The sequence below is a fragment of the Homo sapiens genome, chromosome 3 (assembly GCF_000001405.40).
Source record: "Homo sapiens chromosome 3, GRCh38.p14 Primary Assembly".
NCBI classification, from domain to species: domain Eukaryota; kingdom Metazoa; phylum Chordata; class Mammalia; order Primates; family Hominidae; genus Homo; species Homo sapiens.
Window position 1 is genome coordinate 157,445,534 of NC_000003.12, and position 23,232 is coordinate 157,468,765.

The 23,232-nt window shown below is 37.5% G+C and overlaps 1 protein-coding gene across 24 annotated transcripts in view; it reads right to left on the bottom strand.

Annotated features, from left to right (window-relative positions):
- Positions 1-23,232, bottom strand: part of VEPH1 (ventricular zone expressed PH domain containing 1) — a 243,864-nt gene that overhangs the window by 185,792 nt on the left and 34,840 nt on the right. For 18 of the 24 annotated variants that reach the window (XM_047448927.1, XM_047448922.1, XM_024453748.2 and 15 more), the window contains one exon: positions 14,648-14,822. In XM_047448927.1, the coding sequence (XP_047304883.1) occupies positions 14,648-14,822 (175 nt within the window). Of the gene's footprint in view, positions 1-13,941; positions 14,823-23,232 lie in introns of those variants that run through there. The other 6 variants (XM_024453750.2, XM_024453749.2, XM_047448931.1 and 3 more) reach the window with 2 other exon arrangements.

Consider the following 23,232-nt stretch of genomic DNA (forward strand, 5'->3'; position numbering starts at 1 on the left):
TCTCTCGAACCTGGGAGATGGAGGTTGCAGTGAGCCCAGATCATGGCACTGCACTCCAGCCTGGCAACAGAGTGAGACTCTGTCTCAAAATAAGTAAATACATAAATTAGCTGGGTGTAGTGGCGTGCGCCTGTAATCCCAGCTACTCAGGAGGGTGAGGCAGGAGAATCTCTTGAACCCGGGAGGCGGAGATTGCAGTGAGCCAAGATCGCACCACTGCACTGCAGCCTGGCAACAGAGCGAGACTTCATCTCAAAAAAGCAAAACAAAACAACAACAACAGCAACAAAAACAACTACGCACTTTATTCTCCCTAAAACACCCATAACCTAAACTTGGAAAATGCATTTTACAAATTCTCAGGAAGTTGGATATCTGACTTAAAAAAACAACAACAACTAAGCAATAACATTTAATGACTTTGAGAATATATAGGTGTTAGCAAAAGGAGGAAATAAGAAATGTGCAAAACTGAGATAAAATATCTAAAGAGAAGTATCAGCATGCTGGCTTATGTTAGCACATTGTCACACATTTTCATTTACCAAATACTTATTGCGACATCACCATATTACAGCATAGTAAAGTAATTGTGCAAGATGACTCAAGCTATTAGGAGGAAAGATGTATGTGTAATAAATATGTAATATATATATATACATATAAATAATATTATTTGTGTGTGTAGAGTGAACAACTGTCCTGGTTTGCCTAAGACTGTCCCATCTTTAGCACTGAAAGTTCCATGTCCTGGGAAGCCCTCAGTCCCACGCAAACTGGAACAGTTTTTCACTCTAGTATGTATGTATATATCTCCAGCAGAGCTAATTTTTTGGCAGAGATAATATATGAACTAAACACAGTTGATATTATTTTCCTTGTCTATTACAATATAAATTGGCTTATAAGTATTAACACCTTTAAAATATATTCAGAACATTCTACTACCAAGCATATAGTGTAGAATTGTAGAGCTTTCTATTTACAATTACTTGATTGACTTCACTTTAACAAAGAATTAGATTTGCAAACAAACAAGAAATTATAATTGATTTTTATTTCATTTCCTGTCAAATCTTAGATTAGAAATCTCTTCCCTGAGTTTTACTAAGGCCAAATGTTTCCAGCATTGTCTTTCAGCCACTTAAGAAATGCACTCCTAAGGTTAAAGTCTTGGTTAAGGTAATTGTATATGTTCATTGATGTATTCTTGGATTCAGTGAACATGAACACTCCTATCGTTGATCCTTGCATCAAGTTTTATAAATCTGGAGTGTAGCAGAAAAGTTTGCTGGGTTTGGGGTCAGAAATCCAGTATTCAAATCCTGGCACCATCACCTACTAACTTAATAACTCTAAGAAATCAGGCCTGTCAAGTAATCTCTATGAGTCTCAAATTAGTCAGGAACTTAGGGATAACAAGACTTGCCTACCTTGTTGAAAGATTAGTAAGCAGATAATTTTCAAAAAAGTGTTTTATAAACCATGAAGTTATATTGAAAATAAGATAGTTATCTTAAAAAATGTTTTTCCAAGTTGTTTTCAGTGGATTGAAACTAAATAAGCAAGCAAACAAAAATACGAACAAATAAATGAATGTAAGGATTCTTTTCCATTGTGGGTAAGTCATTTTCAGAGTTCAGCACACAAATGTCCAAATCTATGCAGGCCTTGTTCTACTTCACAGCAGCATCTACTGGTGAAGTCAAGAAGGTGCAAACTCTGAGTTAGATCAGATCCAAGATTTGGTTAACAATTTAGAAGTCTTTTCCTGTTTTAAGACGTCTCTATTCCTTGATCCATATGTGCATTGTCTTTTCATAACTTTACATTTAATAGTTTTCTATGGGTATAAATATTCAGGTTGAATATTCTTAATAAGATTGCTTAGTAGCTTGTTTCCTAGAATATTTGATTAATAAATTCTTTCCCAACAACTTGTTTTATGGTGAACTTAAAAACCACTTCCTTTAAGAATAATTGTATCATGAATTTTTAATGGTTAAGCATTTCCCTAGAGATTATGAAACTCCATGAGTGGATATGGTTCTGCTTCCAATCTTTTTTTTTTTTTTTTTTGAAATGGAGTCTCACTCTGTCTCCCAGGCTGGAGTGGAGTGGCATGATCTCGGCTCACTGCAACCTCTGCCTCCCAGGTTCAAGTGATTCTTCTGCCTCAGCCTCCTGAGTAGCTGGGACTACAGGTGTGTGCCACCACGCCTGGCTAATTTTTGTATTTTTAGTAGAGATGGGGTTTTACCATGTTGGCCAGCCTGGTCTTGAACTCCTGACAACAAGTGATCTGCCCATCTCAGCCTCCCAAAGTGCTGGAATTACAGGCATGAGCCACAGCGCCTAGCCTGCCTCCAGTCTTTTAATATGGACCTGGTACACAGCAGATACTCAATTGGTGATGACAAAAACAACCAGAACGATGATGATGATGATGATGATGATGATAGAAATCATGGTAACCATTGATGAACTATGGGCCCAGAATTGTACAAAACATAGATATTTTATCTATTTAAGTCTCATACATCCTATATCACATATATTATAACTGTCATATTAAATGGGGGGGGGACAATTTTCTATCTCCATTTTTCTGAGACTGCTCACCAAGCAATGGTTTGAAATTTGTCTCACACAGAGAAAAAATGAGCTGAATTTATCATAATTAACTAGACAGTATTTTCCAGGTCATTGCCAGCAAGTAAAAAAGGAATTTGGACTCTTGATGAGATGTTACATTTTCTTCCCAAAGACTTTCTACTTAAGTTTCCAATCATTTGAAGTCGTTTTGTGACTTGTGCCAGAGGAGCATGTAAAAGGCATATTGATGGTGAGGCATATTTCTTTATTATGATCACTGATTCAGAAATGCAGAAAAAGGGACATTACTACTTTTAGATTAAATAGCAATGGTGTTCATTGCATTATGGAGTTTCACATCAAAATTTTAAAAGGGCTTCCCTATAAACCCTCAGATAATCCACTGCAGTTGTAGGGTCTTCAATAATATTTTCAGCTTCTTGAGTGAAAGATATGCTAACTTGTGCTGCACTAAGCATTGGTTGTGCTTTTATTTATCAGTACTGAAAAGGCATTACAGACCATTTTCATATGGCAAAGAACAAGTTTGGAGACTTATTCGGGAGCACTGGAAAACAACTTTCTTTTCTAAAAAGGTTCTGATGTTACAAAACATCACATTTTACCCCTGATATAATTTAAGCAGAAAACAAATTCATTGCCCAAGTGATATGGTTTGGCTCTGTGTCCCCACCCAAATCTCATCTTGAATTGTACTCCCATAATTCCCACATGTTGTGGGAGGGACCCAGTGGGAGATACTTGAATCATGAGGGTGGTTTCCCCCATACTATTCTCATGGTAGTAAATAAGTCTCATGAGATGTGATGGTTTTATAAGGGGTTTCAGCTTTCACTACCTCCTCATACTCTCTTGCCACCACCATGTAAGAAGTGCCTTTCACCTTCCACCATGATTGTGAGGCCTCCCTAGCCACGTGGAACTGTGAGTCCAATAAACATCTTTCTTTTGGAAATTGCCCAGTCTCAGGTACATCTTTATCAGCAGCATGAAAATGGACTAATACACCAAGTGACATCCTTATCTTATTTTTTAATTCAAGGGGAAACATTAATATTTCCCTAATAAGTATAATTTTAGTTTAGTTGTTTAGTATTAATAGATACCTTTTATCAGAATAAGGATGTTCCCTTTTATTGCTTGTTTGCTGAGAGATTTTTAAAATTTTACTAAAGAAGAGACTTAGATTTGTTTTATGTATTTAGGTCTTATTCCATCTGCTATTAATTTATGCATGCTGTGATGTGGACAATTGTCTCAAAACCATTTATTGAATAGTCTGTCCTTCTCTATTGTCAATATTCCCCTAGCATATACACAGTTTCCATATATGCACAGATTTGTTTCTTGCTTCTCTGTTCTATTCATGGGTTATTTACCTATCTTACACTAGTGCTACACTGTCTTGATTATTATGATTTTATAATATATTGATATCTGGTACGGAAATTACTGCCTCTTCCTCTCCCCCAACAACTCCCATTTTCTTCTCCTTCTGTGAAACTGTCTTGGCTATCTGTTTCACTTTATCTTGTAAATTTAAAAATCAGCTTGTCATCTTTCATGGAAACCTCTGTTGCTATTTTATCAAAATTTCACTAAATTTATTGAAAATTTACATCTTTGCCACATCAAACTCTCCCATCAGTGAACACGGTGTATTTCTCCATTTTCTTATTTAATTGCTTTCAATACACTTTTATAATTTTATTCTCAAAAGCTACATTTCCTGTGGGTATTGTATATTTTTCTACTTTAAATAATATTTTTAATATTATATTTTCAATTTATTATGACTAGTATGTAAGAAAAAAACTAGTTTCTCTAAATTGATCTCACTTCCAGCACTTTACTGAAATTTGTCTTATTTTGTCTTAAAATTGACTGGAGAATATTTACTTTTTTTTTTTTTTTTTTTTTTTTTGAGACAGGGGCTTGTTCTGTCACCCATGCTGGAGTGCAGTGGCACAATTACAGCTTGCTGCAGCTTCAACCTCCTGGGCTCAAGCTATTTTCCCACTTCAGCCTCCAGAGTAGCTGAGACTACAGGTGCACACCACCAAGCCCAGATAAATTCTTTGATTTTTAGTAGGGACGAGGTCTTGCTATGTTCCCGAGGCTGGTCTTGAACTCCTGAGCTCAAGCGATCCTCTCACCTTGGCCTCCCAAAGTTCTGGGATTGCAGGTGCAAGCCACCACACCCAGCCAGAATATTTAAATGTTCTATTGTAGACAATTATCACATTTTTCTAGAGATAATGATTGTTTTGACCCTTCCTTTCTGTTATAACTTTCATTTATTTTTCTTGTCTAGGCTAGGGCTTCTGTGCCACAGTAAATAGAAGTAGATATATTGGTATCCTCATCTCATTCCTGACTTTAAATGAATGCTTCTACTGTTCCACTATATGTATATAGTGAAATATATATATATATTTATATATATAGTGCTCTATCATTATCTATCTATATATCTCCTCTAATCATGTTAAGAAATTTGTCCAAAATTACTAGTTTGAATTTTGTTTTCATGAGCAAAGAGGTACTGAATTTTATGAGATACTTTTTACTAATCACATGATGTTTTTCCTCTTTAGTCTTTTGCAGTGTGGAATTATATCGAATATTAAGCCGTCCTGCATTTGTGGGAGAAACTCAACTAGGTCATTACGCATTTATAAAGTGGGCTTAACATTAGTTTTTCCCTCATAAGATATTGGGAGAGAATTACATAGGTTAAAAGGCCAGTACCTGGTATATAGTAAGCACTCAGCAAATGTTAACTATTATTTACTTTAAGCACTGCTAGAGTCATTTTGCTAAAATTTTTATTTATGATTTATGCATCTATGTTCATAATTAAGATGGACCTGTATTTTTATTTCTCATACTGTCCTTGTCTGGTATTGATATCATGGTATTGATATCCTGGCTATACTAGCCCTGTAGAATAAGGTGGAGAATGTTTTTCTGTTTCAGTTATCTGGGAAAGTTTTAAAGAGATTGTAATGATCTGTTCTTTGTATATTTGTTATAATTTTCCTGTAAAACTAAATTGGTATGTTTTTTAATTTTTTTGTGTGTGAGTTGATTTTAAAATACTGACAGAATTGTCTTATTTGGTATAGAGATATTCAAGTTTTCTATCCCCTTAACTTTTAAGTATGAATCAAGATAACATTCCAATTATACCTTTAATCCTTCCTCCAAGAAGTAAGAAGTAAGACCTTTTACAATTACCACTTACTGGGAGAATTCAGAGAATACAAAACAGACAAAATAACTCTAAACAACTTGAATAAAATAAATGTGTACTTAAACTTAATGTAAAACTAAACATTACTTATATATAACCATTAATAATAAGAGGTAGCAAAAATTGGCTTAGAACTATTGAAATATTTGCCTTCAGGGATAAATACATAGCCCTTGGACAAAGTCTCTCATGATTCACTCATAAGCATAAAAGAGCATTTGGTTTGAAATCAGGCACAGGATGCAAATGGATGCATATAATACAATTGTTAAAAATATGATCAAGGAAATAATAGCAAACAAGTCTAAGAGGCAAACACCCCTGCCACAGCACAAGAGTCTCCTGGCCCTATCTCATCAACTTTTTAATCAGTGTTTTAAAATGAAGACCAGAGTGGCTCTGCTCATAAAATTTATGGGTGACAAGAACCTTGGAAGAGCTGCAGATACACTGAGATAAAAAAACATCTAACAAGATCTTTGCATGCCAAAGCAATGGGTGAATCTCATGAAAGAAAAGTGTAAAGAATTAAAAGTAAGTACTTGCATAAGACAAAAAGCCTGCTAAACACAGAGTATGGCAGAAATTGCTGAATATACTAAGACAATTTATATTTAAAAATTTGGAGATTTCAAATATAAGTCAAGAGAAATCAAAGATGTGATTGTGTGATTGACAAAAAACTGAATTTGATTTTAGGTTACATTAAGGAAAATACAGTATTAATAGGGAGGATAAATCCATTTTAGTCCTCATAAGCAAGCAAATCAGAGCACATGCAGGGGAGGGCAGCCAAGCAGAGCGGGGGTCTGGGTACATCTTGCAAATGGATGCAGAAACAAGTCATCATCTGCTGAGTGAGCAAGCTGAGAGGGAAACTATGAATGTTATGCCTGAGGAGGAAAAGAGGGAAGTGCAAAGGGAAGGAGTGGTGAGATATGAAAGTCGGAGCTAGTTTTTGAAAGTTTGTCATGTGAAAGAGGAACGAGGGTTTATTAGGCCCAAGAAAAGGGCCTTAGTCAAAAGTGGGAGGCCACAAGGGGAGAACCTCTAATTCAACAAAAGGAAGAAATGTCTAGTACTCAATTTTGTCCAGAGATAAAGTGGGTTGTCACAGGAAACAGTGAGTGAGTTCCCTGGCAATAAAGGGATTCAAATATAGGAAGGCAAGTATGATTATCCTCATCACCACCTTAGCTGATATTTATTGAAAGCTGACTATGTTTTGGCATTATCTCATGTCATTGTCTAAACATCTATATGTACATATGAGGAAACAGGCTGGGAAAATAAAAATACAATAGTGTATTTGGCGGTGCTAAGATTACACTGTGAAAGTAGACTTTACAGTGAAATGGTCAGGGTTTGAATCTTGCTTTTAACTCCTCTAAGCTTCAGCTTGCTCACTTACAAAATGATATAGTGGACATTTGTGTTCTTTCATTTCCCACTATTCATTCACCTATTGTTGGCAACAGTCCTGGGTTTCTTTTGGGGATCTACTCCTCCTCTACTCCCAATCTATGTGGCTTTGCTGCAGCCGACTCCCATTCCCTGCTTTGAGGGTGGCTCATGACCTAAGCCTGACCAACTGAAGTACAGTATCCCCTGGAAATAATGATGGATTGGTTCAGAAATGTTCATGTGGCCTGTGTCAGATCAAAGAGAAAAAAAGAGGCTGGATGTGAACTTTCTTTTTCTTAATTGGTATTCATGATGATGTGAGCTGGAAGCTGTAGAGGCCTACACCAATCGCAAAAGTAAAACCCATCCTGAGGAAGCAGAGCTGAGAATTGACTTTTGGGACACCATTGAGCCCTGAATCAACCATCTGGGAAGTCTGGTATGCTCATGGACTTTGCAGGCATGTGTGCCAAGGAGGAGTTGTTGTTGCTCCTCTTTCTCCTTCTCTTCTTCCTCATCATCAAGTCGTTTACATCTGTAGGTTTCTGTTACCTAAAATACTACTAACTGGTAAAATGGGATAATAATAGGACTTCTTTTATGAGGTTCTCGTGGGCATTGAATGATATAATCGGTATAAATGGCTTAATACAGTACCTGGCATCAGAAATGCATGCAGTAAATTTTAGCCATTGTAGCTATTATTAATGTTATTGTAATTATCATCATCATCATTGCATGGATGACCATTCAATGTATTTTATAGAAGTAGAAACATGGGAAAATAAGGATTAGTGTACTGCAAGGCAATGAAGATCTAAAGAGGAGAAAAACTATAAGTAATGAAAAAAGAAACCCCATGATGACTCCTCAGGCTGTCTGGTAGGGGATGTAAGACAAAGAATTGCAGAGCAGAAAACTTACTAATCAGAGAGAGCAAGATCCCTTCTGCTTTGCAACTTAAAGTTTGATGGGCTCATGTGAGTGATAATGGAGTTTTACAGTCACATCAGTCTTAAAACTCCAAACCCTGAGATATGTAGCCCCAACCTTTTACAGGTCAAATTACCATTCATTTTATGATAATTTTCATAGTGCCAGATCAAATAAACCAAATTATTTGTTTATTTCAAATGCTTGCAGTGAATTTAGAAAGTGTACTTTGTGTTTCAAAGATTTCATTGTCATCGAAAAAGCATTTTTTAAAAACCCAAAGAGATGAGCTAAGTTCTTGGCAGCAATAAAGGGGTAATTCATTTTTTTTTCATAAATCTGTTATTTGCAAGTCTGACTATCATGGTTTTAAAATGTGTGGTGTGTATAAGTGTTTTAAATTCCTATAAAATTTGTTTCAAAAATGTAGCCAAGGTGTTGAAAAAAACATAATTGCTTTTATGGGCTTTAAGCAAATTTAATATTACATATAAAGTGAAATTGGTGATTTAATCCCGTGGCCAAAGGAAATTGGAAATGAAAATACTGACTAGTATTATTAATGACAAATCTTTAGAGGGAAGCACAGGTTGAGTGATAAATTTCCACTCTCAGCTGGAGTTCAGACATACCTGGCAGACCACTGGGGTGGCTGGTCAGCAGTCTTGCAATGGTACTAAGAACCCACCTTAGGAATGTCTGGTACAATGAGCTTAAGTTAGGAACAAAACTTTAGTTCTTGGAAGGCAATAGGCATTTTGAGAATTAAAGTATTAATTTGTTGGTAACCCCAACTCCTGGGTGAATAGTTGAGCCCAGGGGAAGGAAAGACAGCTTTAGATAAAACAATAATCTATTTTATTTTAGTTTTTCAACTTTTAGAGTCAAGGGTACATGTGCAGGTTTCTTACAAGGCTATATTGCATGATGCTGAGGTTTGGGGTACAATTGAACCCATCACAGAGGCAGTGAGCACAGTACCCAATAAGTAGTTTTTCTATCCTTGTCCCTCTCTTCCTACCCCTCTTTCAGTCCCCCAGTGTCTATCATTCCCATCTTTATGTCCACATGTACCCAATGATTAGTTCCCACTTATAAGTGAAAACATGTGGTATCTGCATTAATTCGCTTAGGATAATGGCCTCTAGCTGCATCCACGTTGCTGCAAAGGACATGATTTTGTTCTTATTTATGGTAGCATAGTATTCCTTGGTGTATATGTACCACATTTTCTTCATCCAATCCACTGTTGATGGGCACCTAGGTTAATTCCATGTCTTTGCTATTGTAAATAGTGTTGCAATGAAGATATGAGTACATGTGTCTTTTTGGTAGAAGGATTTATTTTCCTTTGGGTATATATACCCAGCAGTAGAATTGCTGGGTCAAATAATAGTTCTATTTTAACTTCTTTGAGAAATCACCAAACTGCTTTCCACAGTGGCTGAACTGATGGGCATTCCCACAAATAGTGTATAAGCGTTCTCTTTTCTCTGCAGCCTTGCCAACATCTATTGTTTTCTGAATTTTTAATAACAGACATTTTGACTGGTATGAGATGGTACCTCATTGTGATTTTGATTTGCATTTCTCTGAGGATTAGTGATGTGGAGCATGTTTTCATATACTTGTTGACTGCTTTCATGTCTTCTTTTGAGAAGTGTCTGTTCATGTCCTTTGCCGCCTTTTTTTTTCTTTAAGTTCAGGGGTACATAGGCAGTTTTTTTATATAGGTAAACTTGTGTCATGGGGGTTTGTTGAACAGATTATTTTATTACCCAGGTATTAAGCCCAGTACCTGTTAGTTATTTTTCTTGATCCTCTCCCTTTTCCCACCCTTCACCCTCCAATAGGCCCCAGTATCTTTTGTTCCTCTCTATGTGTCCAGGTATTGTCATAATTTAGCTCCCACTTATAAGTGACAACATGCGGTATTTGGTTTCCTGTTCCTGTGTTAGCTTGCTAAGGATAATAGCCTCTGGCTCCATCCAAGTTCCTGCAAAGGACATGATCTTGCTCTTTTTTACGGCTGCATAGTTTTCCATGGTGTATAGGTATCACATTTTCTTTAGCCAGTCTATGATTGATGGGCGTTTAGGTTGATTCCAATGTCTTTGCTAACGTGAATAGTGCTGCAATGAACATATGTGTGCATGTGTCTTTATGATGGAACAATTTATATTTCTTTGGGTATATACCCAGTAATGGGATTGCTGAGTTGATTGTAGTTCTGTTTTTAGGTTTTTGAGGACCAATCACCACTAACAGTGTATAAGCATTCCTTTTTCTCCACAACCTTGCCAATAGCTGTTATTTTTTAATAATACACTGTTGTGAGATGGTATCTCATTGTGGTTTTGATTTGCATTTCTCTAATGATCAGTAATGTTGAGTTTTTTTCATGATTGTTGGCTGCATGTATGTCTTCTTTTGAAAAGTGTCTTTTCATGTCCTTTGCCCACTTTGTAATTTTTTTCTTGTAAATTTCTTTAAGTTTCTTATAGATGTTGGATATTAGACCTTTGTCAGATGCATACTTTGCAAATATTTCCTTTCATCCTCTAGATTGTTCACTCTGTTGATAGTTTCTTTTGCTGTGCAGAAGCTCTTTAGTTTAATTAGATCATATTTGTCAATTTTTGCTCTTGTTGCAGTTGCCTTTGTTGCAATTGCTTTTGGTATCTTCTTCATGAAATTTTTGCACATTCCTATGTCCAGAATGGTGTTGCCTAGGTTATCTTCCAGCGTTTTTATAGTTTTGGGTTTTACATTTAAGTATTTAATCCATCTTGAGTTAATTTTTGTATGTGGTATAAAGAAGGGGTCCAGTTTTAATCTTCTGCATATGACTAGGCAGTTATTCCAGCACCTTTTATTGAATAGGTAGTCTTTTGCCCATTGCTTGTTTTTGTCAGCTTTTTCAGAGATTAGATAGTTGTAGGTGTGTAGCCTTATTTCTGGTTCTCTATTCTGTTCTATTGGTCTATGCGTGTGTTTTTGTACCCGTACCATGCTGTTTTGCTTACTATATCCCTATTTGAAGTCAGTTTGAAGTAATACAGTGTGATGCCTCCAGGTTTGTTCTTTTTGCTTAGGATTGCCTTGGCTATTCAGGCTCTTTTTTGGTTCCATATGAATTTTAAAATATTTTTTCTAGTTCTGTGATGAATGTCATTAGTAATTTAATAGGAATAATATTGAATCTATAAATTACTTTGGGCAGCATGGCCATTTTAATGATATTGTTTCCTCCTATCCATGAGTATAGAATATTTTTCCATTTGTTTGTGTCATCTCTGACTTCTTTGAGGAGTGTTTTGTAGTTCTCCTTATAGAGATCTTTCAACTCCCTGGTTAGCTGGATTCCTAGGTATTTTATTTGTATGTGTGTGTGGCACTTGTAAATGGGATTGCATTTCTGATTTGGCTCTCAGCTTGGCTACTGGTGGTGTGTGGGAGTGCTAGTGACTTTTGTACATTGATTTTTGTATCCTGAGACTTTGCTGAAGTTGTTTATCAGCTTAAGGAGCTTTTTGGGTTGAGACTATGGCATTTTCTAGATATAGGATCATGTCATCTACAAATAGGGATAGTTTGACTTCCTCTCTTCCTATTTGGATGTGCTATATTTCTTTCTCTTTCATGATTGCTCTGGCCAGGATTTCCAACACTATGTTGAATAGGAGTGGTGAGAGAGGGCGTCCTTGTCTTGTGCCAGTTTTCAGTGGTAATGTTTCCAGCTTTTGCCCATTCAGTATGATGTTGGCTGTGGGTTTGCCATTGATGGCTCTTACTATTTTGAGGTATCCTTCTTCAATACCTAGATTATTGGGAATTTTTAACATGAAGCGGTGTTGAATTTTATCAAAAGCCTTATCTGCATCTATTGGATTTGTCTTTAGTTGTGTTTATGTGATGAATCACATTTATTGATTTGCATATGTTCAACCAACCTTGCATCCCAGGGATAAAGCCTACTTGATCATGATCGATAAGCTTTTTGATGTGCTGCTGGATTTGTTTTGCCAGTATTTTGTTGAGAGTTTTTGCATCAGTGTTCAAGGATATTGCCTTGAAGTTTTCTTTTTATGTTGTGTCTCTGCCAGATTTTGGTATCAGGATGATGGTGGCCTTATAGAATGAGTTAGGGAGGAGTCTCTCCTCCTCAATTTTTTGGAATAGCTTCAGCAGGAATGGTACCAGCTCTTCTTTGTATATCTGGTAGAATTCAGCTGTGAATCTGTCTGGTCCCAAGCTTATTGTGATTGGTAGACTATTTATTACTGATTCAATTTCAGAGCTCATTATTGGTCTGTTCAGGGATTCAATTTCTTACTGGTTAGGTCTTAAGGGTGTATGTGCCCAGGAATTTATTAGTTTCCTCTAGATTTTCTAGTTAATGTGTATAGAGGTGTTCATAATATCTTCTGATGGTTGTTTGTATTTCTGTGGGGTCAATAGTAATATCACCTTGTTGTTTCTGGTTGTGTTTATTTGGAGCTTCTCTATTACCTTCTTTATTAGTCTAGCTAGCTCCTGGATTTGTTGATCTTTTAAATTTATTTGTGTCTTAATCGCCTTCAGCTCAGCTCTGATTTTGGTTATTTCTTGCCTTCTGCTAGCTTTGGACTTGGTTTCCTCTTGGTTCTCTAGTTCTTTTAGTTATGCTGTTAGGTTGTTAAATTGAGATCTTTCTAACTTTTTGATTTGCACTTTTTAATGGGGCTATTTGTTTCTTGCTTGTTGAATTGCTTAAGTTCCTTATAGATTCTGGATATTAGACCTTTTTCAGATGCATAGTTTGCAAAAATTTTCTCCCATTCTGTAGGTTGTCTGTTGACTCTGTTGATAATTTCTTCTGCTGTCTAGAAGCTCTCTAATTCAATTAGGTCCCACTTGTCAGTTTTTGTTTTTGTCATAATTGGTTTTAAGGACTTAGCCATAAATTTATTGCCAAGGCTATTGTCAAGAAGGGTATTTCCTAGATTTTCCTTGAGGACTTTTATAGTTTGAGGTCTTGCATTTAGGTCTTTAATCCATTTTGAGTTAATTTTTGTATATGGTGATAGTTGTCCAGTTTTATTCCTCTGCATATAGATACCCAGTTATCCTAGCACCATTTGTTGAATAGGGAGTCCTTCCCCCACTGATTATTTTTGTTGAATTTGTCAAAGATCAGATGGTGGCTCTAGGTGTGCAGCTTTATTTCTGGGTTCTCTATTCTGTTCTACTGAAAAACCATCTATGTTACTGCAAACATGGCAACTCAGTTTGGCACTGCTCTGGGGCCTCTCTACCAAGGTATAACACTGAGGAGAAAGGCTAGTGTTCTTTCCCATCCTGCCACAGGCTGCCACACTGAATTACTGGGCTAAGGACTTGGTTGTTCCTAAAGCTTCCAGTGGTTCAGCACAAAGACTGCCATCACTGGCAGGGCAGCACGGAGTTCCCAGGAGTGGAGTCCATTCCTGGGACCTGCATGGCAGTGGCCTTAGGGTCTGCTGGGCTCGCATGGTGGAAGAGGACAGCACCCCACCATGCTATGCCAGGAAGCATGGACAAAATAGCAGTATGGGCTTGGGGATTGGTCTGGATACCTTGGGAAGAGAGCACACATAGGACACCCTTGGGGACCCTAAGAATTAATTGGACTGTGAGCACTTTACAGAGGGTTGACGATCAACCTTATCATGTGGTGGGTTATGGCAGTAAACTGTGGGCTGAGATACTCATGGGCCTCATGCATCTTTATTAATGAGAAATGGGGACATTTGGATGCACATCAATTAATATCATGTATTGTTCTCTGACTTCAAGTTCAAAAACATGTTTTTTGATTGATCTGAAACCAAAGAAAATAAAAGAAGACAAGGAGAATATTTTGCATGAACTAATTTGAGCTTCTTATTCATTCAAATGTTGTAACAATTAACAGAGGTGTACTATTTGGCTTTTTATGCTAGTATTTATGCTTGTTATCCAAATCATGTTCACATTTAAGAAGTCATTACACATTTTCTGATGTATTTTATCTAACAAAAGACATTTCTTGCTTTTGGAAGCAAATGAAGACAGGTTTTTCATACCCCACTGAGTGACGTGTTCCACTCAGTACACAGAGATAAGATCTCCACAGTTGGTAGTTGAACAGGTGACCAGAAGCACGGAAATGCAGTTCTTCAAACTGAGAAACACAGATTTGGAAGAATGCTTACAATTCTTTTAATGAGTCTAAGTAATTCATCTGCCTTGGGAAGGGACACAGACAGCCAGATTAAGTAACCTTTTGCATGTTCACAGGTCAACTGGCAGCAAAACAGAGAAATTAATTTGCTTCTAATACTCTAGGTCTTGCTTCCCACAAACCATAAATGCTTGATGAAAATACTTTTAAATATCTCCCAAAACATGTCCCCAAGCTCAACTTTCGCACCATACCTTGGAGTATGCTCTTTACTATAACTTCCGTGTGATCAGCCAGGAGATCTGCCTTGGTAATTGCAGCCAGAGACAGGTAGTTAGACATATTCCTGCACAGTTCCTTGTTGCCTCTGTGGAGGAATTTCACTGCAATGGGGATGGCTAATGCCATCACTGGGGGTCGGTTGTAATTCTGAGGAAATATAAGAAAGCCACAAATAATAAGTGACTCATTATTCATTTATTCATTCATTCACTCATTCAAAAAATATTTATTGGATTAAGCTACCAGAGTACAGCTGTGAAAACACAGGCCTTGCCCTGTTTATATTGTATTTGGGAATTCTGGGAACTCTTGGTTTTGTTTAAGAGACCTAAAGACAAACAGGCAGTTAACAGCATAAACTGATGACAGCCGAGATGGGCAAAAGGCAGGGTGCTAACAGAGCAGAGAAGGAGCACTCAATCCAGTCTTGGGGAATGTCAAGAAAGACTTCCTGGAGGGGGTAATGTCTTAGTTGGGACCTCATGGATGAATAAGAGATGGCTGGGTGCTGGCAAGGCAGGGAGTAGACAGAAAGAAGGAAGAGTAGGTATGCAGAGACTGAGGTGAGGGAGTACCTGATGGCACTGGAGAGTTGTAAATAGCTCAGGATGGCTGAAGTGTGGTATGTGTGAGAAAACTGGAGTGGGAGGTGAGGGGAGAGACGGGGCAGGTAAACAGGGGCATGATTATGAAAGGTCCGGCATACAAGGCTAAGAAGTTTGGCATTGATCTTTAGGGTAATCGGGGGCCACTGATAACAGGAATCACTTGTCAGATTTACACTTGAGAAAAAAACCTAAGGAATGTTGAACAAGTCGCTTTTTGCCTATATCTATCTTAAAAATTAAAGTTTCAGCTAATTAGATTCAGAGGAAAAAAAATAAATGAATGTAAGATTAAAACCTAAAGGTATTCTGGATCCTAAAATAATTCTCTTCTTGATTTACTTTGTGACTGAATATAAATATCCTTACATATAAAGTAGTCCTATTAGCATTTAGTTACCAAATTAGGGAATAATATTTAGAAAATACAAATTGCTTTCTTTTTTTTTCTACCACATAATGTTTTGGTCAACAAATTGTTTTCTTAAAAATGAATGGTACATATTCACTACACCTGGCCATCAACCCCACCTCTCAGACTAACTGTAGAAAAAAAAACTGTGCAGTGCACAGCGTGTTTGGGAGAAATAGCCCTGGACTCCTACTCTTGCATTATTTGATGACAGACAAAGTTCTGTGTTGCTTGTCCCACTGTTATATTCAGATCTTTGTTTTGTAGCTGAGCTTGTACCCTGATTAATACAATGCAAAGCCAGGACCACTTACATTCTTTAACTTTCCCTGTGGCTTAAAGAGAAAACTATATTCTTAGAATGAAATGTAGAACTCCACCTTTATACATCAAATCTTACAATAAGGACAAAAGAAAAGACATGAGATAAAAATTGTCATTGATACATACAATTCCTGAGCAATAGAAATGGGGCAATTGGGTCAATTAGATATTTACATGGGGAAAAAACATATCCCCACCCCTATATCTGCCATAACTAAAATCAATTTCAGATAGATTGCAGATCTAAAGGTGAAAAATAAAACAAGACAGAGAAGACAACCCAGGAGAACATCTCGATGGCCTCAGAGTAGGCAAGGACTTCCTTAAACCTAACTCAAAAATAATTAACAATAAAAAAGTCATAAAGTGGATAAAATCAAGAACTTCTAGTCATCAAGAGATATCATTTAAAAAGTGAAAAGATAATCCAAAGAGTGAAAGAAGATATCTATAATATGTTCTGGGTACTGGTAAACCTTTGGATAAATGTATTTTATATATATAATATATATTATAAATATAAAAGTATTATTTATATATATATAATATATATACACACTCTTCCAATCCATAAGAAAAAGAAGATGCAATCAAACAGAAAAGTAGACAGAGGACTTAAACAGACACGTTACAAAATAAAGCTCCAAAACATGAAAATATGCTCAATTTCATTAATTTTTAATTTTGCTCTGGGTTCTGATTACAGGGTTGTATTTGGAGAGAATTCATCAAGATATGATATGACCTCTTTTCTGAAGAAGAAGCACAGTTATATAATTACAGATTTTAGCTATTCTTTTAAATAGATGCAAAAGTTAGTATGAATACAGAATTGCATATTGTATGCATGCATTTTATAAACAACCTTTGTCTTAGGGTTCTACGAAGGACAACGACACACAGTGGTGGAGTCAATGCAGCCAAGAATATAAAAACGGTGGTGACAGTGTCAGGAAGATGACTTGTCTATTCACACTAAGTATGGGAATCAGGTAAAATAAATATTATGGGATATGTAAGGCACTCAAATGTATGTTCCTTAAAGAGCTAATGAGTTTTGGGAGTGATAGCATTCATATCTTGATATCCAGTCCATAAATCTTTCCTGAAGTCACAGAAAATAACATTCTATGATTTTTCTCTGATCTTCATATCATCAGCCTTTTACACTCCTGCCCAATATACATTTATACTTCTTCTGGAGACTCTACCCTAATTCCTCTGTGGAACTGTCCAGGTGCTTCTAATGAAGGCATCTCTACCTTTTGTCTTAAAGGTGATCAAGTGACTCAGACACTGATCAATGAGAGAATCACATTTCCCTGGTTCAAGGAAGGACACGTTACCAAATTATAATTAAGGAGCCATAAAATGGCTCTGTGAAAGAGATTCTCTCTCCTGCTGTATTTAAAGTATTGAGAAGGGAGGATCAAAAGTAGTTGCTGTCATCTTGTGACCTCAGTAGGAGAGAAACTGTATGAGACTCAAGGAAACATGGTTCTATCTGAGAGACCAGATCCTGGTAATATCATTTGAGCCCAATGCCTTAGGCTGTGCCTGAGGCCAGTTATATTCCTAAAGATTTCTAAATGAGCCAATTAAATATCTTGCACTTAAGCATCCCTGCCTCCCCAGTCACTAGAAACAAAAACAGAACTGATAAATCTTTAATCCATTCCTGCAGTTCCATCCATTTTCCAGACTCAGGGGTCAATCTGACCACTGGGCAGAGAAAATAGGTACTCCATAACCTAACCTGATATCCCACTATTAAGTCAGTCGTGTTGAAAGCTCTGATGCTATTCTTTGGCGATAAATCATGCGTCTATATAGCAGTTCCTCTCAGTAGGTCTCTGGCCTATCCATCCTAGAGTTCTTAACATCACGGAAGTATCAGAACCATAGCCCATAGCCAGTATCCTCTGACGACTTCCCTGAATGCCTTTGTCTAGATTGTCTCCCCTCCCAGTGAATTTAATTGGGCCTGATCTGACTGGATCATTACTGATACGATGAGCTTTGAGACCTCTCTGAGAGGCTGGCTGCTCCCTTCCCCAGAGGTTAGTGCTCAGCTTTAGAAGTCAGGGCACGTGCTTGGTTGGAACACACAAAATTGTTTGGACCCACTAAGGCTAACTCACACCAAAGGATTTCCAAAAGGCTGGTACATAACCAGGCATGCCAGTGCACTCAACCCCAGTGAGAGGCTTTCATAGGTCAGACTTAGGGTATCCCTTTCACATTTTCAGGATACCTAGGAGACAGATTAGAAACTAGAGTGTCCACTCATGGGCACAAAATCAGGTCAGAGCAGAGAGAGATCCTGAGGGATATTTCAGGTAGACCACGGTGAAACCTGATTAAAAGAACACTCCTGCCCTATAACTGAATCCCTTTCTCTGCTCATTGGAAGTTTCCATTCATCAGATCCAGTATTTTTCCTAGTGGTGCTGGACAAACATGCCAAAATAATGACACAACATTGAGCATCCTCTTTTTGTTAACATACTGATCAAACATGTGGTGTTTAGAAAAGCTAATTGATTTGGTCATTTTTCTCAATTATGATCATATCCTGTCCCTGCTCCCTTGACTTACATTCAAAAAAGTTACTTATTAGAGCATTGGGTATTCCCCAAACATCTCAGTCTCACCTATGCAATTTCTTGGGTTGCATTTTCTTGGGTTCGAGGGTCCCATGGACCTAACAGGTACCAAACAACATCCAGTGGCTGAGCTTCACTTTCAAGGGCAGCAAAAGGAGTTGGTAAAGGAGGAGATCTCAGGCCCATGAAACTATTTCATCTCTGGAATTATTTGGGTCACAGAAATGCTAATGGCATGCATGCAGAGAAAGCCCTATGATTACAGTTCTACAAACAAATGACTTTAACAGCAGCTGATAATGCCAGAGCCTATGAAAGACCTTGCTTCTCAGTGCAGATGTGAGCATGTTGGATGAATATCATCTTACAGTTTGGTGCTGAGGGAACAAATTCAGCGAAGTGCAGCATAGAAATAGACTTTCTCGTGGGGACAATTTAGCTGTAGAGGTTAAACAAGAGAGCTTTGTTCTACGGATGCCAAGAATTATATTTCTAAACTAGATTAGCACCAATTTGAACTTTTGGTGGAAATTGTGTTTTTGAAAATGCACTTTGGGAATGTTCCCCAGTGTTTTAAAATTGAAAAGAATGAAGCTAAGTAGGAAAGATATCTATCTGAGGTAATAGCAACTAAAAAGCTCTTTGGCTCTTAGGCCTTGAATTCAAGTAAGAACCATAAAAAATGATTAAGCTCAAGAAATATTAAACCTCATTTATTAAAATAGGGTTCCTTGATTATTCATTCACTATTATCAATCAAAGCTAAACCAATTTTGGATTTACATATAAAATGGTTCATTCTTCCCAGCATAGCTATATGTAAAATCTAATTGGCACACAAGCTAAGTTTCCCCAGTGAATTTTCTGACAGGTAATAGGGAGCAGGTCTCAGGAACCTGGGAGTGTACATCCCAGTCCCCTCCCATTTCCTGCCACTATATGAGCATTAGATACTGAAGCCTATTCTGGAGAGAAATGTAGCTGCTGTGAAAGTCAGAGGGCAGCCACGTCTCCTGAGCCCCTTCACTCAACCATTCAACAAATATTATTTGAGCACCTACTATATGCCAGGCACTATTCTACGTGCTGGGATTACTTCAGTGAATAGAAGAGCTTATAATTTGGGGAAAGGAGAGACAGGATATTTAAAAAGTGGCTATAACACATAATTAAATCAATAGCTTGTTAGAAAGCATCCAGTGTTATTTTAGTCTCCTGCAGATAATGATAATGATGATGATACCAACTTCCTATGTTCTAAATATTTTGTCTATTAAAGTCTATTAATTTAATTTTCACAGCAAACTCATGAGGCAGCTCCTCTTAATATCTGCATTTTACATATGAGACAATTAAGGCCTGGAAAGATTAATTTTCCCAAGACCACACTACAGGTACAGAGCAGAGCTGGGATTGCCTACTGAATAAACTGCTAGATTGGCATAACCAGTCCCATCTCTAAGAGTTGTGAAGGAAATGCTCTCCACTGTCTGAGGCACTTCACATGCAACACTAGCAAGGGCAGAGTTTAAACCTTCATATTACATTGACTGGGGAAGAAGAACTGAGAAGACTGTGCGGCATCAAGGAGAAGGAACAGCAGGTCCTTCTATAAAGAGGGAAAAGTAGACACTTTCTGATTTTCCAGCAGCAGATCTGGAGATTATTCTATTACCCCTGTTACCCTGCAGGCAGCCTGCTTTGGTTATTTCCCTCTTCATGCAGTCATCAACAGTGGTAGCAGAGATTGGGGGAAGATGAAATGTGGAGCTGATTAAATACATGGCAATGGCTCTGCTAAGTGATTTGGCTTGGGAAGAGGCTGTGACTGCAGTAGAGTGAGGATAAAGCCAGGCATTGGCTGCCAGGCTTCATGATGGCTGAACTTTCAATTCTCTAGAACTTCATTCTAGAACAGCAGCTATGTCAATAATTATAATGTCCTTGAGGTACGTTTTAATTTTAATCAAGTTTGCCAAGTTTGTTTTTATCCTAGAACGTAATACACATTGTATGGGTGTATTCTTTTTTAGGATTTTTCTAGGAGCAAAAAAAAGTGGGGGGGTGGGGATGGCCAACTCCATATAGATATCTGGTCAGAGGGTTAGAGGAAGCTGTTAACTCTAGGTAAGCTGTACTTTGAATTAGGTACTTCCACATAGTGGCTAGAGCACAGATAGAGATCGCTTTTGTAATAAAAGATCCTCTTCATGTGCACCTACCACCACCAATTGGAAGTACTAAACTCCAGTAGTTTGATGTCTTGAATGGAACCAGCTGGATGCTCATTTTCGTTGCCCTGCAAGACTGGATTAATTTGCTAGCTACAAACCACTACTTCTATTGAGTACTTACTATTTAGCAATTGTACTGTGTAAACACCGTATATGTAATATCATTTTTAACTTTCATAATAGTCCCGAGCAGGAGGTGTTGTTATCCCAATTTTAGAGATGGCAGAACAGAGATTTAGAGAGAGAAAATACTTTGCCAATCTCTCATCTTGATAAGACCAAGATCCAAATGACACGGAAGCCTTCAAGCTCTAAAGCTCTTTGCTATTCTATTCTTAGAGTCTCCTCAGGGAGTCAAAATTTCAGACTGGGAGATGACATGGAAGGTGATCTGATTCAATTCTCTATTTTACACATAAGTTGAGAGACTTGTCTAATGACACAGGATGTGTAGAAACATATGGCCCAAGGCCAAAAAACAAATTCACAAGTGCATGTCCCATATATGTACCGATTTTGTATTGAGTTTCCTCAATACAAAATCAGTAGAAGGTGAGTTCTGGAATTTTTAAAAGTTATTTTAAGGTAAATGTGGCAAGTTCACAAATTTAGGGACCAAGAAAAGAAGTATAATTACCAACTAAAAGAGGAAAAGGAATGGTCACCTGAAGTAGGTTTGAGCGTAGGCCGACAAGAGGAAATCTGGGGGACAAAAAGAAAAGTGTGTGTGTGTGTATGTGTGTGTGTGTGTGTGTGTGTGTACACATTTAGCTTAAAATGACAGTGAAGTGGCCAGAAAAAAAAAAATCAAATGAAATGGCCAAGGGTGCAGGAAGAAGAAATGACTGGGCCTCTGCCTGATCAGACAGTAAGACCCTGGGTTGCTTATCTGGGGAGATGGGATGGGTGGAGAGGCAATCACTCATTTCTTGTTGTTTGTTTTCCTTCCATTTTGTGTAAAGCTAAAAATGCTGAGTGTCTAACTTTTGAAAGTTGGCCTATTGTTTCATTTTACTGAAAAAAAAAATAGAAGAAAATGAGTCATTTGGATTTCTACACGTTCCCCACAGGATCCTAAATTACAAGTAATACCAAAATCATCCTTTCAATGTTTACTGCAAGCCAAAAATTTCCCTTTAAAATCTGATGATAGCTAAATATAAATGCTATGACCCCAGGTTTGCCTTTAGTTCCTGGTGCTGCATTTCTGGGACCTCCAGGGGTGGCCAGGACAAGATGCTGAACTTTGCTGAAAGCAAGTTTGCCTTTAGGCCTTCAGGCTTTCCATTTTAGTGGCTTCTGCCTCCTTCTGAGGGCCTACAATGGACACCCCATCCCTACACCGGCCCTACATGCTAGACTTACCCACTTCTCTGCCTAACTTGTCCCTCTTAACCAAGGAGCCTACTAGCCTTCAGTCCTTTTCTCTTTCGCTTCCCAAAATATCAACCCTTGACCTCAGAACCCTGCTCTCTACAATCTTACAAACTCATTTACACTGTCTTGATCATCAATGAGTTGAGCATTTCAATTTCTCAAAAACATTTAATTCCTTACACCATACCCCATCCCTTTTAAGTAGGAGACACAATGCTTTACTCAGAATAAAACATCCCATCTAACATAAATGTTAGAATTATGGGCATTTGAGAAAGGTAGCATGCTTACGATTCTCTGATCTTGGTCTTATTTCACAAATCTGTACTTTTGCACAAGCTGTTTTCCTGTGTAGACTGTCTTCTCACTCTACTTAGCCTATCTAGTGAAATTCCTGCTCACTGCTCATAAACCTTCCAAACATGATCTTCACCCAGAAAACTTTATCTGATTACTCTAAAACTGTGTTAACACAGGAGCCACTGACCATGGGATGCTCTTGAACATCTGAAGTGTGACTAGTCCATTTAGTGATGCACTAAAATGCACATCAGATATGTAAGAATTGTGTAAAAAAAATGGTGAATCACAAGGTCAGGAGTTCAAGGCCAGGCTGGCCAATATGGTGAAACCCCTTCTCTACTAAAAATATACAAAAATTAGCCACGTGTGGTGGCAGGCACCTGTAGTCTCAGCTACTCAGGAGGCTGAGGCAGGAGAATCACTTGAACCCGGGAGGCGGAGGTTGCAGTGAGCCGAGATCACGCCACTGCACTCCAGCCTGGGCGACAGAGCGAGACTCCATCTCAAAATAATAATAATAATAATGATAATAACAACAATAATAATAGTAAATAAATAAATTTTAAAAATTGCTATATTGATTGCATGTTGAAGTGATACTATTTTGGATATAATGGGTTGAAGAAATATATTATCAAAATCAATTTCATCTTTCTTTTTACGTAAGTGGCTACTAGAATTTTTTTCCTTTTTAAT